General features: G+C 40.5%; 2 protein-coding genes across 18 annotated transcripts in view, besides 2 other annotated features; one reads left to right on the top strand and one right to left on the bottom strand.

Moving 5' to 3' along the window:
- The window catches only part of IQCH (IQ motif containing H), a 247,019-nt gene extending 239,417 nt beyond the window's left edge, over nt 1-7,602 (bottom strand). For all 12 annotated transcript variants that reach the window (NR_147832.2, NM_001031715.3, NM_001322475.2 and 9 more), the window contains exons 1-2: nt 7,441-7,602; nt 994-1,116 (exon numbers count right to left, since the gene is read on the bottom strand). Coding sequence is in view for 2 of the 12 variants with exons in the window: in NM_001031715.3 (NP_001026885.2) it covers nt 994-1,116; nt 7,441-7,491 (174 nt within the window). In the remaining 10 variants the exon portion in view is untranslated. The remainder of the gene's footprint in view (nt 1-993; nt 1,117-7,440) is intronic.
- Nucleotides 7,190-23,826, top strand: part of AAGAB (alpha and gamma adaptin binding protein) — a 54,532-nt gene continuing 37,895 nt past the window's right edge. For 4 of the 6 annotated variants that reach the window (XR_007064489.1, NM_024666.5, XM_024450053.2 and 1 more), the window contains exon 1: nt 7,727-7,829. Coding sequence is in view for 3 of the 6 variants with exons in the window: in NM_024666.5 (NP_078942.3) it covers nt 7,757-7,829 (73 nt within the window). In the remaining 3 variants the exon portion in view is untranslated. Of the gene's footprint in view, nt 7,252-7,726; nt 7,975-23,826 lie in introns of those variants that run through there. The other 2 variants (NM_001271885.2, NM_001271886.2) reach the window with 2 other exon arrangements.
- Nucleotides 7,667-7,986: an enhancer, noted in NCBI's record as "active region_9628". NCBI's record gives its function as "activates an Ori minimal core promoter by ATAC-STARR-seq in GM12878 lymphoblastoid cells {active_cell/tissue: GM12878}" and the evidence as "EXISTENCE:reporter gene assay evidence [ECO:0000049][PMID:35858748]".
- Nucleotides 21,419-21,508: an enhancer, noted in NCBI's record as "active region_9627". NCBI's record gives its function as "activates an Ori minimal core promoter by ATAC-STARR-seq in GM12878 lymphoblastoid cells {active_cell/tissue: GM12878}" and the evidence as "EXISTENCE:reporter gene assay evidence [ECO:0000049][PMID:35858748]".

Below are 23,826 nucleotides of genomic sequence, written 5' to 3'. Positions count from 1 at the left end.
TCTGAATCAAGAGCAGAGACACTGAAAATAAGAGGTATAGAAGGTGGAGATTGATGGAAGATGGACCCCATTAGCTTGTTTCATAAATGAATATTATCCTGGTCCAAAGACTGGATTCTCCCCGACCTTAGATCTCTTTGTAATGATGAAGTTCCTATTTACTTTATTTCTCTGGCCCAATATTGGTATATTTCTTTAGTTTTACCCATTTGATTATAACGTTACAAAAACGAATAGCTCAAAATATTTAGGCTATTAGGGGAAAGTCAACTCTTATTTTTTATATACTTTTTTTTTTTGAGACAGAGTCTCACTCTGTAGCCCAGGCTGAAATGCAGTGGGGAAATCAAGGCTTACTGCAGCCTCAACTTCCTGGGCTCAAGCAATCCTCCCACCTCAGCCTCCTGAGTAGCTGGGACTACAGGCGTGTGCCACCATGCCTGGCTAATTTTTTAAAAAATTTTTGTAGAGACAGGGTTTCGCCATGTTGCCCAGGCTGATCTCAAACTCCTGGGCTCAAGTGACCTGCCTGCCTTGGCCTCCCAAAGTGCTTGGATTACAGGCCTGCACTACTGTGCCCAGCCAACTCTTCTCTTTTAGAATCTCAGTAAATTCCAGAAAATCTGCAATATATTGGTCAGGCATATTGTTGGATTGACAGTAATTATTTTTCATCGCTTCTTGGCCTTTTGGCTAAGATCAAGTAATAGTAATTATTTTTCATACTCCAAGTTATTTTTATAAAACCACATTTTAGGAGTTGTCACTGCATAATCTTATATTTAACCTACTTAAATTCTTTGTGAAATATGACAGAATATAAATCAATCAGTTAATAATTATGAGAACAAATAACAAAACAAGAATGCTGACGACTGCCCTAAATTCAGCTTTGTTACAGAATTATGCAGGACTCTATGAGAACTGCAATTCCTTTCTTCTAGAGGATGCTTTGTCTCCTTCCAGTATTTTAATATCTAAAGCTCTACTTACTCTTAACCCCACTTCAGTCCTTTTGATTGCTGTTTCAAGACTCTGAATGTCTAGAGTCTCTCCTTTTTCCTCAGGTGAGAATTTTGTTAATTTCTCCTTTAACTGATAAAGGTCTTCATGGATCTATAGGTATAAAAAATGAAAAATATTGAAATAATCCACACATAGTCCACCTATAGCAGTTATTTATCTTAAAGGTTTGCAATGTACTTGAATTGGTAGAGACACAAAGCTGATTTTATGGTATTCATTGAAAAGGACCACTTTTACGGTTGTAAGGCATTCTTTTTTTTTTTTTTTTGAGATGGAATTTCACTCTTGCTCAGACTGGAATGCAATGGTGTGATCTAGGCTCACTGCAACCTCTGCCTCCCAGGTTCAAGCGATTCTCCTGCCTCAGCCTCCTGAGTAGCTGGGATTACAGGTGCCTGCCACCACACCCGGCTAATTTTTGTATTTTTAGTAGAGACGGGCTTTCACCATGTTGGTCAGGCTGGTCTCAAACTACTGTCCTCATGATCTTCCCACCTCGGCCTCCCAAAGTGCTGGGATTACAGGCATGAGCCACCATGCCTGGCCTGGTTCTAAGGCATTCTTTATTGAGAATGCTCTATTATTGTCTCTCAGATTGTGAAAAATTATTCTTTCATATTATTTGTTTTTCCTTCTCCCATGAGAAATAGATTTAAGATAACACTGCAACTCAAATAGTTTCTACTTTCTTAAGTGGTAAGAGTTCAGTCAGAGATGATAAGAGGTTTGTGCCAGACTCCAATTTCTACAGATTGGTTAAGAGGAAAGAAAACAAAAAACTTCCAGCAAAGAAGTTGTAGCAGAAGCAATGTCTTTGAAAAGACTATTGTAAATGTGTTGTCAGTGCCTGTTGGTTTTCCATTCCAGGCTGGGTCTTCCCCACTTACTGCTCTGAAGAAGGAGTTTGGTAGGTGTTTGACCTTGATTTTGTTTTATGTAGTGAGAAATGAAAATAATCCCTGAAGAAAAAGGAACATATATTATTACTTTAACATTTTTCCTTCAATTTGTATTTTCCTTGGAAATGATGGATTTCTCTCCAACATCAGGCACCCTCAGAATAAAATGGGCCCTATGAAATTTGAAAGCACAAGATTCTCTGCATTCATATTAGAAACCAAACTTCAGATAAATACAGATGGCACCAATTATTGTATGGGCTGCTGCCACAAGAAAAACATTTTGTTATGCAAATTTATGAACCCAACACCTGTTTCAGCAATAGTCACACCAATAACAATCTGCAAATTGGGTTGCTAAAGGCATTTTGAAGAAGTTACTTTTTCTCTGTTAGTATAACTGGACTGAACACTGATCCAGCCTGCATTACTGATTAATCTCAAATGTTCACATGGAGCCAATTATTCAAAAGATCAGAATTTACACCTTTTCACTGATGGGCATCACAGTCTGGCAGACACATCTGGTCATTTGTACTCTTCACAAATTGTCATGTAAGGCCTTCAGAGCTCACAGATTGAAATCTGAATACACCTACTGCTTGCTTGTAAGCACTAAAGATAAAGATATACTTCTTTCTATTGTTTTGTCCAAATTACTGCTGCAAGCTGATTTGCCATCTATTGTCTGAAGACATTTGGAAAGTACAGAGAGGCAGTTCAAGGGCAAGGCCCTCTCTAGGCCTGCATTTTTTGGTTCCTCCTTTGAATGTACTGACTTTCCCTCTTCTAGTATCTGTAGCTCCATGTATCTTTCTGTAATTATGTCTATCAACTACTGGAGGGAGTAAAAACTGTACCAAAGGTTTGTTTTCTTTTCACCTGCCTTGTGTGGACAATGATATTTCATCATAGTGTTGTGAGATAGTATGTAATAGGCTTGGTACATAGCAAGAACTCAATAAAAGGCAGCTGAATATAATGTCTAGCTCTATCACTTATTAGTCACACAATTTCCATATACATCTAAATTTTCTGAATTTCTAATTTCTTTGTCCAGGATAAAAAAGAATTACCCTACTTAAAACTGTTGAATGAAAATGAGGTAATATGTATGAAAATGAATCAATATAGGCTTTGGTGCTGACAGATATGAACTGGAATCCTTCTTCCTTCTTTACTAAACTGAACTTGGGAAAGTTATGTAGCCTCTTAGAGGCTTAGTGTTCTCATCTGTAAAATGGGAATAATAATAGCTATCTCAGAACAGTGGCAAGAATAAAATGAGTAAAAATATAAGTACTTTGTATAGTGTTAAGCACATAGGAGGGCACTGAACAAATGTTAATTCTCTTCTGAATTATAAAACCTAGTGAAACTCCTTACACTATAAGTAATACCCTGTAAATGTTAATTGAATTTACGTAAATGTTAATTGAATAACTTGCTCCCTAATCTTTCTCAAGAGTTTTTCCTTTTCTTGCTAGATATTTTCTCCTCCCCTCTTAACAACCACTCATCTGTTTGTATAATTGCAATAGAGACAAATACTATAGAAAAAGTTAACCAGACTTGGGTAGAAAAAGAGATTTGAGTTCTAAATCTCTTTCTTCAGATAGATCCAATCTACCATATTGAAATTTTACATATCATCCATCATCTCTGTGATCATCAAACACCTTGTTTTCCATAAATTTTCTACTTGGAGAAAGATTATTATTTTGACAATTTGGAGACAGAGCTACTTAATAAGAAGCCCTTGAAAGATTTAATGCAGCAAAGATTTGCTCTAGACTTTACAAGAGCCATGAAACCAGACTCTATATTGTCAAAAGCAATATAAAATTCCATTTTCTTCATCTCTGCTAGAGTTTGGCTGAGTCATTCTCATCACCTCAATTATCTTTAACTTCATTCTTTTTTTTTTTTTTGAGATGAAGTCTCACTCTTGTCCCCCAGGCTGGAGTGCAATGGCGCGATCTTGGCTCACTGCAACCTCCACCTCCCGGGTTCAAGTGATTCTCCTGCCTCAGTCTCCTGAGTAGCTGGGATTATAAGAGCATGCCACCACGCTCGGCTAATTTTTGTATTTTTAGTAGAGACGGGGTTTCACCAGGTTGTCCAGGCTGGTGTACGAACTTCTGACCTCAGGTGATTCTCCCGCCTCGGCCTCCTAAAGTGCTGGGATTACAGGCATGAGCCACCGCGCTTGGCCTTTTTTTTTTTTTGACACAGAGTCTCGCTGTGCTGCTTGCTGTGTTGGAGTGTACTGGTGCAATCTCGGCTCACTGCACCCTCCACCTCCCAGGTTCAAGTAATTCTCCTTGCCTCAGCCTCCCAAGTAGCTGGGATTACAGGTGCCTGCCACCACACCTAGCTAATTTTTGTATTTTTTAGTAGAGACGGGGTTTTGCCATGTTGGCCAGGCTGGTCTTGAATTCCTGACCTCAAGTGATTCATCCGCCTCAGCCTCCCAAAATGCTGGGATTACAGGCATGAGCCACCACGCCTGGCCAACTTCATTCATTTTTATATTGTATGCACCTGACAAATCAGACACAATCAGAAAGAATGAAAATAGCAAACTGTCAATTGAGCTCCCATATTTCCAAGATCATTGTTAACATACAATTGTTGGATTTTTGTGTTAACACACAATTGTTGGATTTTAATTAAAAAGCTAATTTTGAATCATAAGATCAGGTAATATTTGTTACACAAACATTTAATATTTGGGTCAAGCAAGTATTTATAAAGATATATTAAGAATATACCACATTTTAATGAAGCATAAAAACAAAGCTTCTAAGATTTACAAAGCATGATTGGAAACTTCCCAGAGTCACTATCACACTTCTTCAAGATTACTTCATGAACATGCCATAGCCTATTTAAGGATCAATACATACTGGATGTATTACAATGGGCAAGATGCTTTACTTCTTTGTACCTAAGTGTCTTCTGTAAACTGGAGCTAAAAAATAATACTTACAACACCTTTGAGAACCACTGGTCTAAAAAGCTGTTTAATATATCTGACTGATACACAGACGTAACTGACCATATTAGGGTGAAGCAAGTAGAAATTTAAAGTACCTCTGCTTTACAGTCTATTGCACACACACACTCACTCAGTCACTGACTTGCCAGAAACAATTTGATTGCCTAGGCTAACAACAAAGGAAGTCTACTTTTACAGTAAATGATGTAGCCTGGGGAAATTGGGACAATTTAAAGTCAGAAGTGAACCTAATCCAAACTATATGTCCTATGGAAGAGGAAAGTGAGGTCCAGAGAGATGAGTGCCTAACTCAAAGTCACTACTTGTGAGACTGTCAAAGTCATGGTCAGATCTCAGTATTCTGACTCCCTATCAAGTGCTTTCCACTAGACACACTAATTATTGGTAGCCTGTCTGAGGGAAATAAATCATAGCCCCAAATAGAAGTGGAATCCACGTTGGCACAGTTGGGTGGTGCTACATACTCACACATTCTCAGGATTCACTGAGAAAGTAGGGAAAGTCTTCCAAATTTCCTCACTATACATATTCTACATGTAGAGAATAGAATTTTATACTATACAGGAATCAGTCTTAATAATCTGGTTAACAGGTAGGCTCTCTTCCTCTACACAGCCCTTTACTTGATATGTCCACAGGAATCCTTTTAAATAAGTAGGGGTGCAGATCAACATGGATATGACTATTAGCTCTTCTGACCCATCTCACAAGTCAGTGTCAACAGTTATCTATTACTATAATGTTGTATCCTAGGTAAGAGTCTCCATTATTGTTCTAATTATTTGGAATCTATAAAAAGAGTGGGTATGTGCAGCAAAGAATTAACCTTACCCAAAGAGGGGTCCAGTCTTCGCTCCTGGCTACTGGGAGGTGATCTCTAGGCGCCTGGGATGTCCTGCCTGATAGAAGTGTCTTTGTCTGTGGGCTTTGGCCACCAGACAGTCTATCAACATGATTTATAATGGGTGTTTTGATCCACGCTGTATCAGCTCAGACCTCTGGAGCAGCGGGAAACTAAAAGTATTCAGGAGGGGCTGGAGATTAATGGTCAACCACAAGGGCAGTGTGAGATTGAGCCCCAGTAAAAACTCTGGACATCAAAGCCTCAGATAAGCTTCTCTAGTTGCAATATTCTATGCATATTGTCACATATCATGGCTGGGAGGAAGTAATGCAGGTAATGACGTCAATGACTCCACAGGGATAAGATGACCAAAAGCTCTATGTTTGTACCCCTCCTGGACTCTGTCCTATTCATCTCTTTCCTTGGCTGATTAATTTGTATGCCTTCACTATAATAAAATTGGAGATGTGAGCACAGCACTTCCCTGAGCTCTGCGAATAGTTCTAGTGAATCATTGAATGTGAGGGTGGTGATGGGGCCCCTAAGTTTGTACCCAGCTGGTCTGAAGTGAGGTGGTTCTGGGGACCCCTGAACTTGCAGGTAGTGAGTGTTGAAGTTAGGGCAGTTTTTTGTGGACCGTTCCCTCAGACTTCGCAGTTTGGCTAAACTCATTGCTGCGTGATGGTGAAAGTGAGGGTGAGAAAAGATCAGGTAAGATTAGGTATGATTCTTAATGGGGAAGTCTATGAAATTGGTGAGTTCAGGGGCTTGTATTTGGGAAAAGGTACATTTAGGGAAGTCTCTCCTAGATGGGAGGTAAGAGATCAAAATTCTGCCAGAAAAATTAGATCCCTTTGACGAGTAAGACCCACTTCAGACCAACTGAGTGACAGTCCTGACAGAGTGACCTTAGACAAATGACTTCAAGACTTAGTCAAATGCAGCTATTATATATGTGATAGTTAAAACCGATGATATATGTGGAAATATCTTAAAGTTACCTCACATAAATGTGAAAACAAAATGCCATGATCATTTCAGAAACATCTGAGTGCAACTATTACAAATTGAGCTGTATTGGACAAGACTTTCTTGACATTTCCCCTCTCAAATTAAAAAGGTCTTTCACTAAGTTTTTAAATGTCACATTTTTTCATTCCAAGTTATCTTGATTTTTCTGTGTGTTCTCCAATGAGGAACATTTAGATCTAAAAAACTGGGGTGTTTAAGAAAAGCAATTCACATATTTCAATTTGTCTCCAAATTTCTTATCACCTCCTAGAGTGTCCGATTTGTCTCTCCTCCACTCCCGACGTCATGGGTTCAAATTTTTCAGAATATAACATTTAAAAATGATGCCTCAGCGTGAGGTTAATTTTTCTGAAGTAAAGGTTCCGGGTGAACGGTTTTAGAGTTTTCCCAGAGGCAGAAAGTCCTGCTTCTGGGGCGTAACCTACAGGGTAAGTCACCGGGAGTGTGCTGGGCCGTGGGGGAAGGTCTGGGTGGGCATTTTTGGGAGCCTCTCGCGAGTTGGAGGGAGTCTAGGGGCGGCGCACCAAATGGGTGAGCGTCGGTGAATCGGCGCGCGGGACCTCGCTCGGAAGTGGCGCGGCTGGGCAGGGCAGGGCCGGGGGAAGCCCGTTTCCCACCTGGATTAAGATGGATCCGACAGGGTCGTGGTTTTCAGTGTTCTGTGCCATGGCTAGGTCAGGGAACGGCTACCTCCGCGGAGGCGCGGTTTCCAAGCACGGAAACCTTCAGCCGGAGCCGCTCGTCCCCATGGCAACACCGCGCGCGACCTGGCCTGTTCCACGCTGGGAGCGGAAGGGGGTCTAGGGGCGGGGTCAGGCCAGCCTGGTCATTCCGAGAACGCCCTCTCCGGCCTGTCTCCCCCTCGCGCCGGCGGCCGTGGTGCAGCCCAAGGCGGAAGCGGCTGCCTGACGGAACCGGCTCGCGAGCGCAGCTATGGCTGCTGGCGTACCCTGTGCGTTAGTCACCAGCTGCTCCTCCGTCTTCTCAGGAGACCAGCTGGTCCAACGTGAGTAGATAGGCGCCTGGGCCGACCTCCAAGGCCCCTGAGCCTCAGCGGGCGACGGACCCAGCACCACGGCCTCTCTGGGCCTTGTCCCCGCAGCGGGCCCTGCGTTCTTCCTCCAGTCAGTGGAGGCGCCCAGTCTCCCCAGGTGGCTGCCCCTATCTCTTAATCTCGTGCTTTTCTGCCCACTCGGCCTTCTTCGGCGTTCCTTTCGGCTTCCTGTGTAAAGTGAGACTGATTTCCCGCTCTGCTCAGCCCAGGCCACAGGTTTTTGCGAGGATCCGTTGAGATGAACCTGAAGGCTCTCCGGAAATTGCGCTAGGTTACAGGAGTGTAAGGTGCTGGAATTGTTGATATCGTGATGTTGTTATCCTTGCTGCTCCGGGAGAGAGTGTTTACTCTGAATTCTGAAGTTTATTCTGCGTATTTACTCTGAAGTTTATTCTGCTTCTTAATGTGTACATTATAAGACTTGTTAGCTTTGTCCGCTCCACTCTAGTTATTCACGCCTTTCATCTGAGGCATGGGCTCTCCGCCAACATGAGTTTTTGGGTATGATTGGGCTAGTGCTTTTGCTTGTAGACCCTCATAATGGCTGTCAGACTTACTAACTCTTAAAAGAGAGAACATGGGACTGGATAATAAGCCAACTCTACTAAAGGGCTCTGTGAAGTTGAATTATAGGTAACTCAAGACTTCTGTTTTAAGTGTATGGCTTAGAATCAGAGCAGTGACTTAGCTGTATGATCTCGAGCAAGTCACCTAACCTACCTACATTCCTTCCTTCTTTTCTTTTTTTTTTTTTAAAGAGACGGGAACTTGCTCTGTCGCCCGGGCTGGAGTGCAGTGATGCGATCATAGCTCACTTCAGCCTCGAACTCCTGGGCTCAAGCGATCCTCCTGCCTCAGTCTCCCGAGCAACTGGGACTGCAGGCTCACACCACGAACCCTGGCTAATTTTTTTATTTTTTGTAGAGCCAGAGTCTTGCTATGTTGCTCAGGCTGGTCTCCAACTCGTGGTTTCAAGTGATCCTCCTGTCTTGGCCGCCCTAAGTGCTGAGATTACAGGCGTGAGCCACTGTGCCTGGCTACCCTTCACTTTCTCTTTTCTCTCCTTTTTTTTATTTTTGTTTTGAGATAGGGTCTCACTCTGCTGCCCAGGCTGTAGTGCAGTGGCGTTATCTCGGCTCACTGCAACCTCTGCCTCCTGGGCTCAAGCCATCCCCCTACCTCAGCCTCCCAAGTATCTGGGACTACAGGTGTGTGCCACCACGCCCGGCTAATTGCCCCCCCCCCCCCCCGTCATACGGGGTTTGGCCATGTTGCCCAGGCTGGTCTGGAACTCCCGGGCTCAAGTGATCTGCCTGCCTTTGCCACCCAAAGTGCTGGGATTACAGGTGTGAGTCACCACCGCGCCCGGCCCCTTCACCTTCTATCTATAAAATAGGGATAATTTTCGCAAGATTGTGCTTATCCCCGAGTCTGGCACATAGTAAACATTTGATAAATCATAGACATTATTATTAAGGCACATTACTATCTCTGTAACCCTCAATTTCCTGATCCTTAAAATGGGGCATATGAGCCTATTTCAGGAGTATTTGAAGGACAGATGATGTGACATTTTGAACACACTTTGTAAACTGTAAAGCATTGTATAATTATAATTTCTTTGCTACACCTGTCAAATGACAGAATTAGGTAAGATGTCCCTTCAGTGCAGATATTATATGACTTAGTTATCATTTGTGATCACTTAGAAAGTTCCTTGCTAGGGTAAAAGCTTAATTATAGCATTTAACTAAGTGGTTACTAACTGGTCTAATTAGGCCATTTTCTTACCTTTAAGCAGTGCTCCTTCCTATTTTCTCCCTTCCCTCCTTTCTTCCTTCTTTTCTTCCTTCCTTCCTCTTTTTTCTTTAATTGTTTCATTGTAAAACTAGTGCATACTAAGTAAAATTTAGCATACAGAGAAAAGAAAATAGCCATAGTCTCATTACCCAACTACAAATACTGCTAACATTTCTTTCCAGTCTTTTTTTCCATTGCAGTTTCTTAAAAAGAAATAATTGTAATTACATTTAATACACAATTTTTTCTGTTTTTAAAAATTTTTTAAATACACAGTTCTTATCCTCAGATTTATCAAAAATTAGTTTCTCACATATATCCATCTAGTGAATAAACCAGAATTTGCTCAAGATTCTTAAAGATGTAACTAACTTTCCAAAAGACTTACATGCATTAGGAATCCTATTAGCGATACATGGAAGTCTTTTCAAGACAATCTCAGGAATATTAATTATTCTAAATGCTATGGTGCTCTGTTGTGTGCTTTAATGATCCCAATCGGCAAACATGGTCCCTGCCTTGAAGTAGCTGATTACCTGTAGTTAGCAAATAGTAACATTGTACTTCTGTAAAGTGTATTAGCATTATTGGGGGTAAAATTAATTCTGTAAAATAATCCATTTTATCTCTGTATATAAAATGCTCTTAGATAATTCCAGTTCGGGTTAAGATCAGATGACCTTTCCATTGCAACTCGTTACTGTCGTGTAGTAAAAAATAAAAGAAGAACAGCTAGTGAGCAGATTACTTGAATAAGGAAAAGTGAACCATAAAAGAGGGCTTATAATTTCTTCCAAGGTTGTGAATAGGGTAGCAGTGGATAGCGTTAAAATGAAGTATTTGCTGAGCATTCATTCTTTGACTATAATTAAAGCTGGGATTAAATTAATCACAGGTTGACTCTAATTTTGAGGTAAGAGATGGAGCCCGCATAATATTTTGTCAAGTGTTCGGTGATATTAGGCCGTGGAATAGTTTTGGATTGAATTGGATCTACCTTTTTGGGAAAGTTTGGTTCTACTTCATGTATCAGCGAGAGAAACCTTTAGGGTTCTCCAATTTCTCTTTCTTTGGACATCTGATCTATCTTAGTGCTTTTAACCACCAGTGGGAAATATAACCAAGTAACAGCTTATTAGAATTATTCTTAAAACAGTCCAAATGCAGTGGTGCATGCTTGGAATTCCAACACTGTGGGAGGCCAGGACGGGAGGATCACTTGAGCACAGGAGTTCAAGACCAGCCTGGGCAACATAGGGAGACCTAGTCTCTACAAAATAAAAATAAAAATGTTAACAAATTAGCCGGGCATAGTGGTATGTGCCTTTCGTCCTAGCTCCTTGGGAGGCTGAGGTGGGAGGATTGCTTGAGCCTGGGAGATCGAGGCTGTAGTGAGTTGTGATGGTGCTACTGCCCTCCAGCCTAGGTGACAGAGTGAGACCCTGTCTCAAATACACACACACACACACACACAGACACACACACACACACACACGCACTTAAAATAAGAATCAGTAGGCCTCTACTATGCATAAAGTGCATGCATGGACTTCATTAGAAACTTTTTCTTTTTGTCACTCAAAGGCCTTATTTGCAGTATTCTGGGTGGATGTCTGACATCGGATAAAAGGGGCATTACTGACGGGGTAGATTTTTTATTTTATTTTATTTTATTTTAATTATTGAGACGGAGTCTCACTCTGTTGCCTGGGCTGGAGTGCAGTGGCACGATCTCGGCTCACTGCAAGCTCCGCCTCCTGGGCTCGCGCCATTCTCCTGCCTCAGCCTCCTGAGTAGCTGGGACTACAGGCGCCCACCACCAAGCTCGGGTAATTTTTTGTATTTTTTAGTAGAGACGGGGTTTCACTGTGTTAGCCAGGATGGTCTCCATCTCTTGACCTCGTGATCTGCCCGCCTCAGCCTCCCAAAGTGCTGGGATTACAAGCATGAGCCACCGCACCCGGCGACAGGGTAGATTTTTTAAAGGGAAATGAAGCCTCAGGATGCTTGAGGGACTTGTAATACACGATATGAGAGCAAATATCTACTCCATGGCCAGAGCTCTTTCCACCTCACATATATTTTACAAAAGTTTTACTTTATTCTGGAAAAGTATATTCTGATGAATATTTATTAAACACAGAGACAGTCTCTGTTCCAGTTACTGCAGCTAAAATAATGCCTAAGATACTGTTCCTGCCCTTGAGAGGAATGTAGAAAGTGTATCCTCCATGTGCCAGGCATGGTGGCTCACGCCTGTAATCCCAGCACTTTGGGAGGTTAAGGCAGGCAAATCACTTGAGGTCAGGAGTTCAAAACCAGCCTGGCCAACATGGAGAAACCCCGTCTCTACTAAAAATTCAAAAATTAGCTGGGCACGGTGGTGCGTGCCTATAATCCTAGCTACTCAGGTGGCTGAGGCAGGAGGGTCACTTGAACCCAGCAGGCAGAGGTTGCAGTGAGCCGAGATCATGCCACTGCACACCACCCTGGGTGACAGTGGGACCCTGCCTCAAAGTCTCCAGTAAAGAAAAAAAAGAAAGAAAGAAAGTGTATGGTCCACCTGTGAAAATATTAAAATGAAGATATGTAAGTTTTAACATCTTACTCTACTTCCCTAGAAGGAACTTTAGATAGAAAAGTCCCTGGAAACTTGTTTGGTTTTAAAGTGTGTAATGCCAACTCAGCAACTGTAGTTCATTCAGTTTCTACATCTGAACAAAATTCTTCCTTTTAGTGAAATGTAGAAATTTAGAGCTCTTATAATCATAGCAAGCATTTATATGTATATCTGTACTCTTCCCAAACATGTTTTCACATTTAGTTTGGTCTTTGTATCCCTGTGAAGGTAGGTTGTGTCCATTTTGCAGATGAAGAAACTGTGCTTTGGAAATACTAAATGACTTGCCCAGGTGCTGGAGCATATGTTCAAATTCAGGATTTATATGCATAGGAATGTGTGAATGTAATGTGTTGAGATTCCTTAGCAGTCAGAACTATTTTAATTTAAGGTGGTGGCACTGGTGTAAGCAATGAGAGAGACGATTAACCCCTAAACGGTTTTAAAATATGCTCACATTGCCACTTCGGATGATTAAAGTCTTAATTCTGAATGGAGGGGAAAAAAATTGTTGCCATCGAAACCAATAAATGGAGCATTATTTAATATGTGTATTAAATTAAATACATATTAAAAAAGAGCATTATGCATACCTGATAGGTAGTCTAACAGTGTCTGGATTTTTATTTTCTCAATTGAGTGAACTCAGAGATGCTATGTATTGGTGATTCTTACCGTACAGGATTAACATTAAAAATAAAGGGTTATTTGAGATCATTTCTAACATCTCTTCTAGATGTAAAATTCTGTGTTATTGGCCAGGCATGGTGGCTCACGCCTGTAATCCCAGCACTTTGGGAGTCCGAGGGGGGCTGATCACCTGAGGTCAGGAGTTCGAGAGCAGCCTGGCCAACATAGTGAAACCCCATCTCTACTAAAAATGCAGAAATTAGCCGGGTGTGGTGGTGCACACCTGTAATCTGAGCTACTCGGGAGGCTGAGGCAGGAGGATTCCTTGAACCCGGGAGGTGGAGGTTCTAGTAAGCTCAGATCACGCCACTGCACTCCAGCATGGGTGACAGAGTGAGACCCGGTCTTAAAAAAAAAAATTTCTGGGTTATTATGTTACTTATTTTTATGCAAGATTTATATAATGCTTCTTAACTTGACTTAATGTTTTTTCTCTTTTAGTTTTTGAAAACTTAGGAATCAAGCCTTATTTTAAGGTTGCAGTAGATGGAGTAGAAAATTTAGTTATGGAGTAGAAAATTTAACCTTTTGTGTTTGAAATTCACATGCATTTACCCATAGAAATAACCCTCCGGTCCTCAGGTTTCTGAAACTGCAAAACCAGAAAGCACAATTATATAATGGGTAAACTAGGCCTTGGAGAGTTACACAGGAAAGCCAGCCATATTCATGACATTGCTTCTTTGGAAAACATGCATTCTTCTGCAAGATTGGGAATTTGTTTCTAGGTCTGTCAGACTCCTATACTTGCAAAAGTATCTTGAAGTAATTTACTAAAGAGAACATTGTTATTTCAAAGGTAGAGGCTATTGTGCTGCTTTGACACCATTGTCTAGCAACAGAATGGGGATAAAAGCTTGAGTCTTCAAATGTGTGTTTTTCTGTAGCTTCTTTAAGTATTTTGAGTGCACTCTTTGGTTTACTCTGGGAATAAGTAATTTTTACTTAAGCAAAGTTACTTATTTTGTTGTGGTAAGAGGATTCTGCCTTTGATTGGATTGTATATTTCCATGTCTTTATTTTCTTCAAAGAATGGAAGATTGGGCCAGCAAGATGTACCACAAGGGCCTAGAGTTGTCATCACAGAGTGATTCAGTAGATGGTCAGATGAGGGCAGTGATTTCAACTGATGACTGGGGTGAGGGAACTGATTGTTTTTAGCTATGATACTTAATATATTTACATTTTTTCAACCAACATTAAAAGAAGGATTGATTTTTATGTTTATTAAAAGAGGGAGGTTGTCATCAATCTAAAGAGGAGGAGAAGCATAAATGTTCATACTTTCTCCAGACCCAAAGGGACTTAAAAAAAACATGTCCACATTACATTCCAGTATGTGTGTATGTGAAGTTAAAGTTCAGTAAAGCTGTGGTTTCCCAAAGTTGTTCAGTTCCCAAAAGCTGGGGAGCTAAGATTCAATTCCAGTTCTATACATGTAAAATATGGTCAACTTAGCAACTAGACTGTGTGGATTCAGAGTGCAGGTAGCAAGCAGTAGGAGAAATTGCAGTAGGTGATTTTACTATTAAAATGAAAACTATGGCTCTCAAAATCAGTTTACAATTAGTTTATTTTTTGATGGTAGTTGAAGCCTTAGTAGATAAAGTGTGATAAGTTAAATAATAAATGAAAATGACTCTATTGGTATACAGTTTGTTTCCTTACTTGTAGAGTAGAGAATTTGACTTTTCGTGCGAAGTTTTAGACTAGTCTTTTAGATATTGTTGATGTGTGAAATGATTATAAGGTGTCCTTTCATTAAATGGCATACCGTAAATGAGGGGGTGGCGGAGAGTAGGAGGAGAAATACCAGTGGAAAAGTATTACACATCAGCCCATATTGTACAAAACCACTTATGATACAGAAAATATTTTATCATCCTGGAGGGTTCTGAGCATGTTTAGAATCAGACTTTTATTTCTGGACCATTTAACTGCTTTGTTTTTGTATGGCAAAAGGTAAAAATCTAGAAAGTATGCAGTGGTCATTTGGTTTAAACAACTTACTGCCTTTTCTCTTTAGGAATATGCCCCAGTAATTCCTCAACAAATAATGATACTCAACAAATAATGCAATCTGATATAAAATCATTTTTTGTAAGGTCAAGGTGTGTCTGGAATTGGTTCCTTCCAGTGGGTTCTTGGTCTCATTGACTTCAAGAATGAAGCCGTGAACCCTCGTTGTGAGTGTCCGGAGTTTCTTCCTTCTGGTGGGTTCGTGGTCTCGCTGACTTCAGGAGTGAAGCTGCAGACCTTCGCCGTGAGTGTTACAGCTCTTAAAGGTGGTGTGTCCGGAGTTGTTTGTTCCTCCCAGTGGGTTCTTGGTCTTGCTGACTTCAGGAATGAAGCTGCAGACCCTCACGGTGAGTGTTACAACTCATAAAGGTAGTACGGACCCAAAGAGTGAGCAGCAGCAAGATTTATTGTAAAGAGCAAAAGAACAAAGCTTCCACAGCGTGGAAGGGGACCCGAACGGGTTGCTGCTGCTGGCTTGGGTGGCCAGCTTTTATTCCCTTATTTGGCCCCGCCCACATCCTGCTGATTGGTCCATTTTACAGAATGCTGATTGGTGCATTTACAATCCTTTAGCTAGACACAGAGTGCTGATTGGTGCGTTTTTGCAGAGTGCTGATTGGTGCATTTACAATCCTTTAGCTAGACACAGAGTGCTGATTGGTGTGTTTTTACAGAGTGCTGATTGGTACATTTACAATCCTTTAGCTAGACACAGAGTGCTGATTGGTGTGTTTTTACAGAGTGCTGATTGGTGTGTTTACAATCCTTTAGCTAGTCCCCACTCGACCCAGGAAGTCTAGCAGGCTTCATCTCTCAAAGGTATGAAAATTGTTTTAAATTTGGACATAACATTGTATTTATGTTGGAGCCAGTACACACAGATACCACAAATACGTTTCTAATAATTCTTATTCAGGAGTCAATATTGATATAGATTAAGATGGACCAGGACAGTTGTGAAACTGTTTTTTCATTTTTTTTTTTTTTTTTGAGACAGGATCTTCCTCTGTCACGCAGGCTGGAGTGCAGTGGTGCAATCTCGGCTCACTGCAGCCTTCGCCTCCCGGGCTCAAGTGATTCTCCTGCCTCAGCCCCCCGACCCCACCGCAAGTAGCTGGGACTACAGGCTCATGCCACCACATCTGGCTAATATTTGTATTTTTTGTAGAGAAGGGGTTTTGCCGTGTTGCTCAGGCTGGTCTTGAACTCCTGAGCTCAGCTGATCCGCTCACCTTGGCCTCCCAAAGTGCTGGGGTTACAGGTGTGAGCCAGCGCACCTGGCCTGTTGTGAAACTATTAAAGAGGCTTTATGATATTTTAGGTTCAGTAACAAAAACCTATTTAGAGTTTAATTTTCCATACAGACCTGATGGCTGGTTTGACACAGAAGTGGAAAAAAGTGTCACTGTATTTGGATCAAACTCCAGCCTGCTGAGATCAGGAAAATGTTTGATCATTTGGTAATAAACAACACTGTGATCTTGATGTAACAGGGTGGCTGTTCTGTCTGAATTTTCCTGGGGTTGTATAGGATTTCTGTGGGGGAAAAAAAATCTGTGGATTGAGTACTGAATTCTATCCTTTTTTAAGCGATCTGACTTTAAACAAGTTAACTTCATTCCATGAATATTGACCAGATTTGTTCACATGTGCCATCCATTGTTCTAAGTACCTAAAATATTATGTGTCTCACTCACCTACCTTATTAGTAATGGGGTCAGTATCTCCCAGTTTCTGTGGTTTTTAGCAGCTTTTTGGAATATAAGTAGTATACAATCTGCCTGTTTTAATTGTATAATTCAGTGTTTTTTAATACATTTACGGATTTGTGCAACCATCATTACAATCTGATTGTAGAACATTTCCGTCATCCCAGAAGGAACTTTGTGACTATTTGCAGTCACTCCTCAGCTCCGTGAAACCACTAATGTACTTTTTGTCATTATAGATTTGCCTTTTCTACACATTTTATATAAATGGAATCATAATATGTGGTCTTTTGTGTCTGGCTTCTTTCACGTAGCATAATGTTTTTGAAGTTCATCTATATTGTAGCATGTACTTCATATTCCATTGTATGGATATACCACATTTTGTTTATCCATTCATCAGTTGATGGACATTTGGATTGTTTCCACTTTTTGGCTATTGTGAATAATGCTGTTATGAACATTCTTGTGCAAGTTTTCATGGGACATCTGTTTTCATTTCTCTTGGGTGGATGCCTGGGAGTGGAATTGCTGGGTCATATGGTAAATTTATATTTGGTATTTTAAGAAACTGCCAAACTGTTTTCTTCCAGAGTGGCTGCACCATTTTATATTCCCATAAGTGAGGATTCTAATTTCTCCGTATCTTTGGACAATAACAATACTTGTTATTGTCAGTATTTTTTGTTATAGCCATTCTAGTGGATGTGAAGTAGTATCTCATTGTGGTTTTGATTTGCATTTCCTTAATAACTCATGATGTTGAGTATCTTTTCATGTTCATATAGTCCATTTTAATATCTTCTTTGGTGAAATGTCTATTCAAATCTTTTTTGCCCACTTTTTTTTTTTAACTATTTTATTTTTTTAAGACGGAGTCTCACTCTCTTGCCCAGGCTGGAGTGCAGTGGTGTGATCTCGGCTCACTGCAGCCTCCGCCTCTGGGGTTCAAGCAATTCTTGTGCCTCAGCCTCCCAAGAAGCTGGCATTACAGGTGTGTGCCACCACACCCAGCTAATTTTTTGTATTTTTGGTAGAGACAGGGTTTCACCATGCTGGGCAGCCTTGTCTCACATTCCTGGATTCAAGCAATCTGCCCACTTTGGCCTCTCAAAGTGCTGGGATTACAGGTATGAGCCACCGTGCCTGGCTCTTTTTTGCCCGCTTTTAAATTGGTTTTCTGGTCTTCTTATTAATGAAAAAGTTCTTATATATTCTGGTTACAAGTCCCTTATTGATATATAATTTGCAAACATTTTCTCCTATTCTGTGGCTTGGGTTTTGTTTTTCTTGATGGTGTCTTGAAACACAATGTTTACTTTCAATAATGTCTTACTTATTAGTGTTTTTGTTTTCCATGATTCGTTGACCATCTGTTGCCCAATAATGATTTTACCCTCCTTTGGATGCTGGGACGTTGGATCTGTTAGCTTTCTGATATTTTCTAACAGATCAAGCTTATTTTCAATACTTGAGTACAGGGGCTACAGAATGAATGTTCTTCATTATTCATCAAACTTATTCTGTTTTGGGAAATTCATCTCAAACATGTTTGTCTTTTTTTAGAGTAAATTAGCATCTACTGCAGATGTTGTCATCCTGAGCATTGACATTTCTTGTAAGGTTTTATTACTTCATGCTAATTTGTTTATGAAAAATTACCATTTGAATATGAAAATTATTTTTATCTCGTAATTGTCCTGTTTAGGCTTATGAATTCTTCTAGAAATCTACCATTCATAGATTATTTTCAAAGTTTCTAAGGTTAATTGTCAATAATTTTTATGGTTAATAATCAAAGAAGACACTTGAGATAGACTTTATCAGAGATAGATTTTATTAGATATAAATGGAAGATATTTTTATCTGGGGTAGGAGGTTGTGATGCCTGACTGTAATGACTAGTTTCAGCTCTTCAAGAAAGAATAAAACCAATTTTGCATTCCAGAACTTTTATTTTGTTTCATGAATACAGCTAAGTAAATTCCATAAGGTTTCTTTGCTGTAGATCAGGGTATCTCAGCTTCGGCACTGTTGATCTTTTGGCCCAGACAATTCCTTGTCTTGTGGGGCTGTCTTGTGCGTTGTAGGATGGATGTTTAGCAGTATTTTTGACCTCTACTCACTAGATGCTAGTGGCATCCCCCTATTGTGATGACCAAAAATGTCTAAAGGTGTTGACCTTTGTCCCCTTGGCAGGATTGGGGAGAATCACATCCCCATAGAGAACCACTGCTTTAGGGGTATATTTAGAACTAGCAATGGAATTCAGAGAAGTGCCCTACCCCTCTAAAATATAGGTAGGAATTGTCCATCAGATGTGACACTAGGATTGACAAAGTGGTCTTTGCATGCAGCCCATAAAACTTAGAGGCTGATGTTTCCTGCTTAATCTTTATAAAACCCTTCTCCATATTCTCTCTCCCTTTCCTGATGGCTTCTTTATGTTCTTGTGTGTGTGTCTGACTGCATTGTAAGGTCTTCTAAAAGCAAGCAGAGACCCCCCCACAACCCCCCTGCCCACTGACTTTCCCCAATTATTTTAAGATGAAGCTGTGGTGACCAATTCCAGATGACTATTGGGAGAAAGTAAACTTGAGGAAAAAGAGGAAGACTGGGTTGGATTTCCTCTGCTTCAGCTTTAAAATGTTTCCACTGTGATATAAAAAGCTTACGAGCATGTGGAAATGCGAATTTAGAGTGTAACCAGAGAAAAGGGGTGTGTCAGGAAGAGGTAATTAAATGTTGTAAGCAACCCAGAATCTCTGTACTATTGTTAAAGCAGTATGTTGCTTTAAGTCAATCCAGTTACTCTTCCCTCAGCAAGTCTATGCTACTCCAGTGACTCTTACCTCAGCAAGTCCATACTACTCCAGTGATCGACCTGTCATATAAACTGCAACAAATACTGCATAAACTTGCACCAGAAGACTGGGGTATGATTACACAGGGAATCTCAGATATGAGTTTCCTGACATTTGTCTGTAAAGTCAACTCTAATGTTGCACAGTTTTAACCTTTAAATACTACCATGCTACAAAGTCCCTTTCCACTGGAGCAGTATAATCTACTTTCAGTATTTAGGGACTAACCTTTTCACAACTACTGCAAAATATTTGACAGAGCAGCACCCACCTTGTATGACATTCTCATGAAGTTGTGGGTAAGAAATTGTAATTGCTTGCAACAGTATGAATCCGATATGATTTTTTTTTTTTTTTTTTTTTTTTTTTTTTTTTTTTTGAGACGGAGTCTCGCTCTGTCGCCCAGGCCGGACTGCGGACTGCAGTGGCGCAATCTCGGCTCACTGCAAGCTCCACTTCCCGGGTTCACGCCATTCTCCTGCCTCAGCCTCCCGAGTAGCTGGGACTACAGGCGCCCGCCACCGCGCCCGGCTAATTTTTTGTATTTTTAGTAGAGACGGGGTTTCACCTTGTTAGCCAGGATGGTCTCGATCTCCTGACCTCATGATCCACCCGCCTCGGCCTCCCAAAGTGCTGGGATTACAGGCGTGAGCCACCGCGCCCGGCCCCGATATGATTTTTAAAAGTCTGTCTTTTCGCTTGCTGGTTAATGAAAACTCTAGGTTTTGAATTTTTCCTAAGTCATATTTTGCTCAGTTCTTTTCTTTCATAATAGCTACTTTTCCTTTCAGCTGACGTCAGACTCTGCTGCCTCCTATAATTTTCCTAATTGCCTTCTCTTCTGTCTCAGCATATGCCTTAGCAGTGGAAAAGAAAAATTTCAACTTTATTTTAGGGGGTGGTCTGGGGTGGAAGGGCAAGGCTAGAGCAGCTTAAAGGAGATGGTTATTTCCTGATTGTAATGTATCTTACTAACTCCTCAGTGCATCTGTAACCTACCTCTAGTCAGGAGTGCTGTCACAAATGTGAAAAAAAGTGAGATGGGAAGAAGGAAATGAATATTTACTGTGCCCAGTGCCTGCACTTTCTTAGACATAGTTTCATTGAATTCATTTAAGCCTTTTGAGGAGTGTTCTCATCCCCATTTGCAGGTAAGGAAATGAGACACCGAGAGGTTAATCTGCCCAAGGCTTTGCAGAGAGCCAGCATGCAAATGCAGGCCTGTCCGACCCCAGGTCTGTGCTGTCTATTTTCCATGCTCTTCTCCCTTCTCGTTAGTACTGGCTTCACAAAGGGAAGAAAGAAGAATGTTGGGTCTCCAGAAGAGTGGATCCCATGAAAGACACTCATATCTGGGGTGAGAGGTTATGATGCTTGGCTGTCAAGGCAGTTTCAGTTTATGAGAAAGAATAAAACCAACTTTGCATTCTGAGAAGAGTGCTGGTTTCCGGAAGGATCATCTTGATTTGAGGTGGCAGCTGTCACTTCCCTCAGGGCATAGAAAATATGATTTAACCACTGGACAACTTTGCTTCACAAAGAATGTCATGATTGGTTAAGTGCACTACTACTGATATTAAAAGTGTACTTAATTACCCTACTACTGAAGGAGACACAAAAAATCCATAACAGTATCAACATGCCTAGTTTAGAATGCATTTGTCTTTTTTGGCTGAGGTGGATAGGTGAGGACATAAGGTAAGGGTTGTGTGTGTGCATGTTTATATATAGATAAAATGTGTGTGTGTGTGTGTGTGTGTGTGTGTGTAGGAGAACAGATATTTGTGGTGTTTGGGGAATTCACCTTGAACTTCATGTTGCCTTCTAATTCATGCTAAAGAGAGTATCACCTGTTATTGATTCTGAACCATAGAAAGCCAGCTGCCTCTTTTCTTTCATTTGATTGGTTACCACATTTGTACTTTCTCTGAGGGAAGGATCATTATTAGGATATGCAGGGAACAGTAGAAAGCTGATTAAAAAGAGGAAGATGTTGGATTACTGAACTGAAATGTTGCCTTGGCACATGGCTTCCTTCAAAGCTCTTGAATCTTATTTCCTGTAACTTACCATATGAGATTATAGGGAAAAGAAGTTGACCAAGGATGTGAGAAAGTAAATGGGAGTTACTGGAGAATTGATGGCTTTGTAAAAAGTTTCTCAAATCGGGATAGAGGTTTATACTTGCACTTAATACTGAAGGAAAGGTTTATGTTTGCTACTAGAACTGGGTTGGCATCTAACTTCCTTTGTAAAAGCACTACAAATTAACTATTGTAAGCTGTGAAATGGAGTTTGTAGTAACAGACCTGGCAAGTAAACACCTAGTGTTTGTCTCTTAAAAAATGATGTATTACAGCTCCACCAGGTGGCTGCCAACAGTGTGAATGAGACAGGCTGGCATCGACCAGGAGGAGGGGAAAGCTGCTCTTGATTTTCTTTGTGCATATCGGAGTCTACAACATAATAATTTAGTGAAGGACAAAGAAGGGAGCCCACTGCAGGTTTTTCTAGGAAGTCTGGCAAAAAACAAAAAAACAACAACAAAAAAACCTCAAGATCACTGTGACTCATCTTTGACATATAAATACCTGAATGTCATAGACAGTTTTCTGATGGGTTAATTGTGCTGCAGATCCGTATATAATTGTGCCCCTATTCTGGCTATTATTTTTGGTGTTCCTAAAAGGGCAGAGGATCCTTTAGGTCTATAGACTAGTTTTGGCTTGTGATTATTAGAGACTCAAGTGTGATCCAGCTCAGGTGCTAAGTATTGTAACATCACGGTGTAGTAGGAAAGAATGTTGGCGAATTGAATCCAGTTTTAGGCTCTGCTCCTATTAGGCAAGTGGCTTCTTTTTTCCTGGGCCTCAGTTTCCTCATCTGTAAAATGAGTGAATTATATTAGCTGCTCTCCAGAAACCTTTAGCCATGTGCACAGTTTGAATAATTTCATTTTAATTTGGAAAAGAATAAACTTGTTAAGCATTTGAAAATCAAATAGAAAACATGAGGGAAGAAAGCTATATTTAGTGTAGACATTTACATTTTTTAAATTAAACTCTACATTATGATATTGGTAATAAGAATTAGAATGAGACAGTCTTTACTATTCTCTCCCTAGCTCTAATATGGCACAGATGTGATAATAAAGTCCATATGCAGCCTTGAAGAAAGTGTTTGATTAGACATAAAATGTTAAAAAAAAATCTGATAAGTAAATTGAGCTATCAACTTGTTTTAGGCAGCACAGAGAATAAAACAAAAACCAAAGCCCACTAGCTACTGAAACACTGAAATGTGAAATTCATTTTCCCAACTTATTGGTTCCATTCCTGTCTAGGTTTGGAGAAAAGAGAAAGAAACAGCTTCTTTCTCCATGTTAAGTAAATGTCTTAATCATTTGAAAATGAAAGTATAAAATTGAAATTGTAAGCACTCTGAGTAACAAACATTGTTTTGTTCTTTTGTGTTCTAAACATTAATAAAATTAGCCATCATTAATGGATCTAAATATTTTAAATTGCAGTTAGTAATTTTAAATTGCAGTTAGTAATGCCATTTTAAGTGATTTTATATTTCTCATGTCGAGGAGCAAAGAAAGCATAACCCCAATTTTTTGATATCAGTTTTTAACAATACAACCAATTTAGGAAATATCAAGAACTGATTATAGCAATGACAGGAATATTAGTCCCCCTGCCTTTGTACTTTGCCCCTTAGCAACAAGTGAATTCATTACTGTATTTTCTTATTTGTGCTTCTCTCCTTTAAAAAATACTCAGTTTGCTATTTTTAAAAATTACCCAAGAATGGGTGGGCATGGTGGCTCATGCCTGTAATCCCAGCACTTTGGAAGGCCGAGGCGGGCGGATCACGAGGTCAGGAGATCGAGACCATCCTGGCTAACATGGTGAAACCCTGTCTGTACTAAAAATACAGAACATTAGCTGGGCATGGTGGCGGGTGCCTGTAGTCCCAGCTACTGGGGAGGCTGAGGCAGGAGAATGGTGTGAACCCGGGAGGTGGAGGTTGCAGTCAGCCGAGATCACGCCACTGCACTCCAGCCTGCGCAACAGAGCGAGACTCCGTCTCAAAAAAAAAAAAAAATTAAGACTGATTTTATGTGGTGGCTCCTTTCACCATTAAAAAGTTAGTTTATACATTTTTTTGCTTTGCTCCTTGTTTTAGTTTCTTTCTTTTATATGTGTATTTATCAGCATATTGTGGTATGTGTGTTAGCTGTG

Source organism: Homo sapiens, chromosome 15 (genome assembly GCF_000001405.40).
Source record: "Homo sapiens chromosome 15, GRCh38.p14 Primary Assembly".
Classification (NCBI taxonomy): Eukaryota; Metazoa; Chordata; class Mammalia; order Primates; family Hominidae; genus Homo; species Homo sapiens.
The sequence above is the reverse complement of the archived record's forward strand: the minus strand, read 5'-3'. Positions and strand labels throughout refer to the sequence as shown.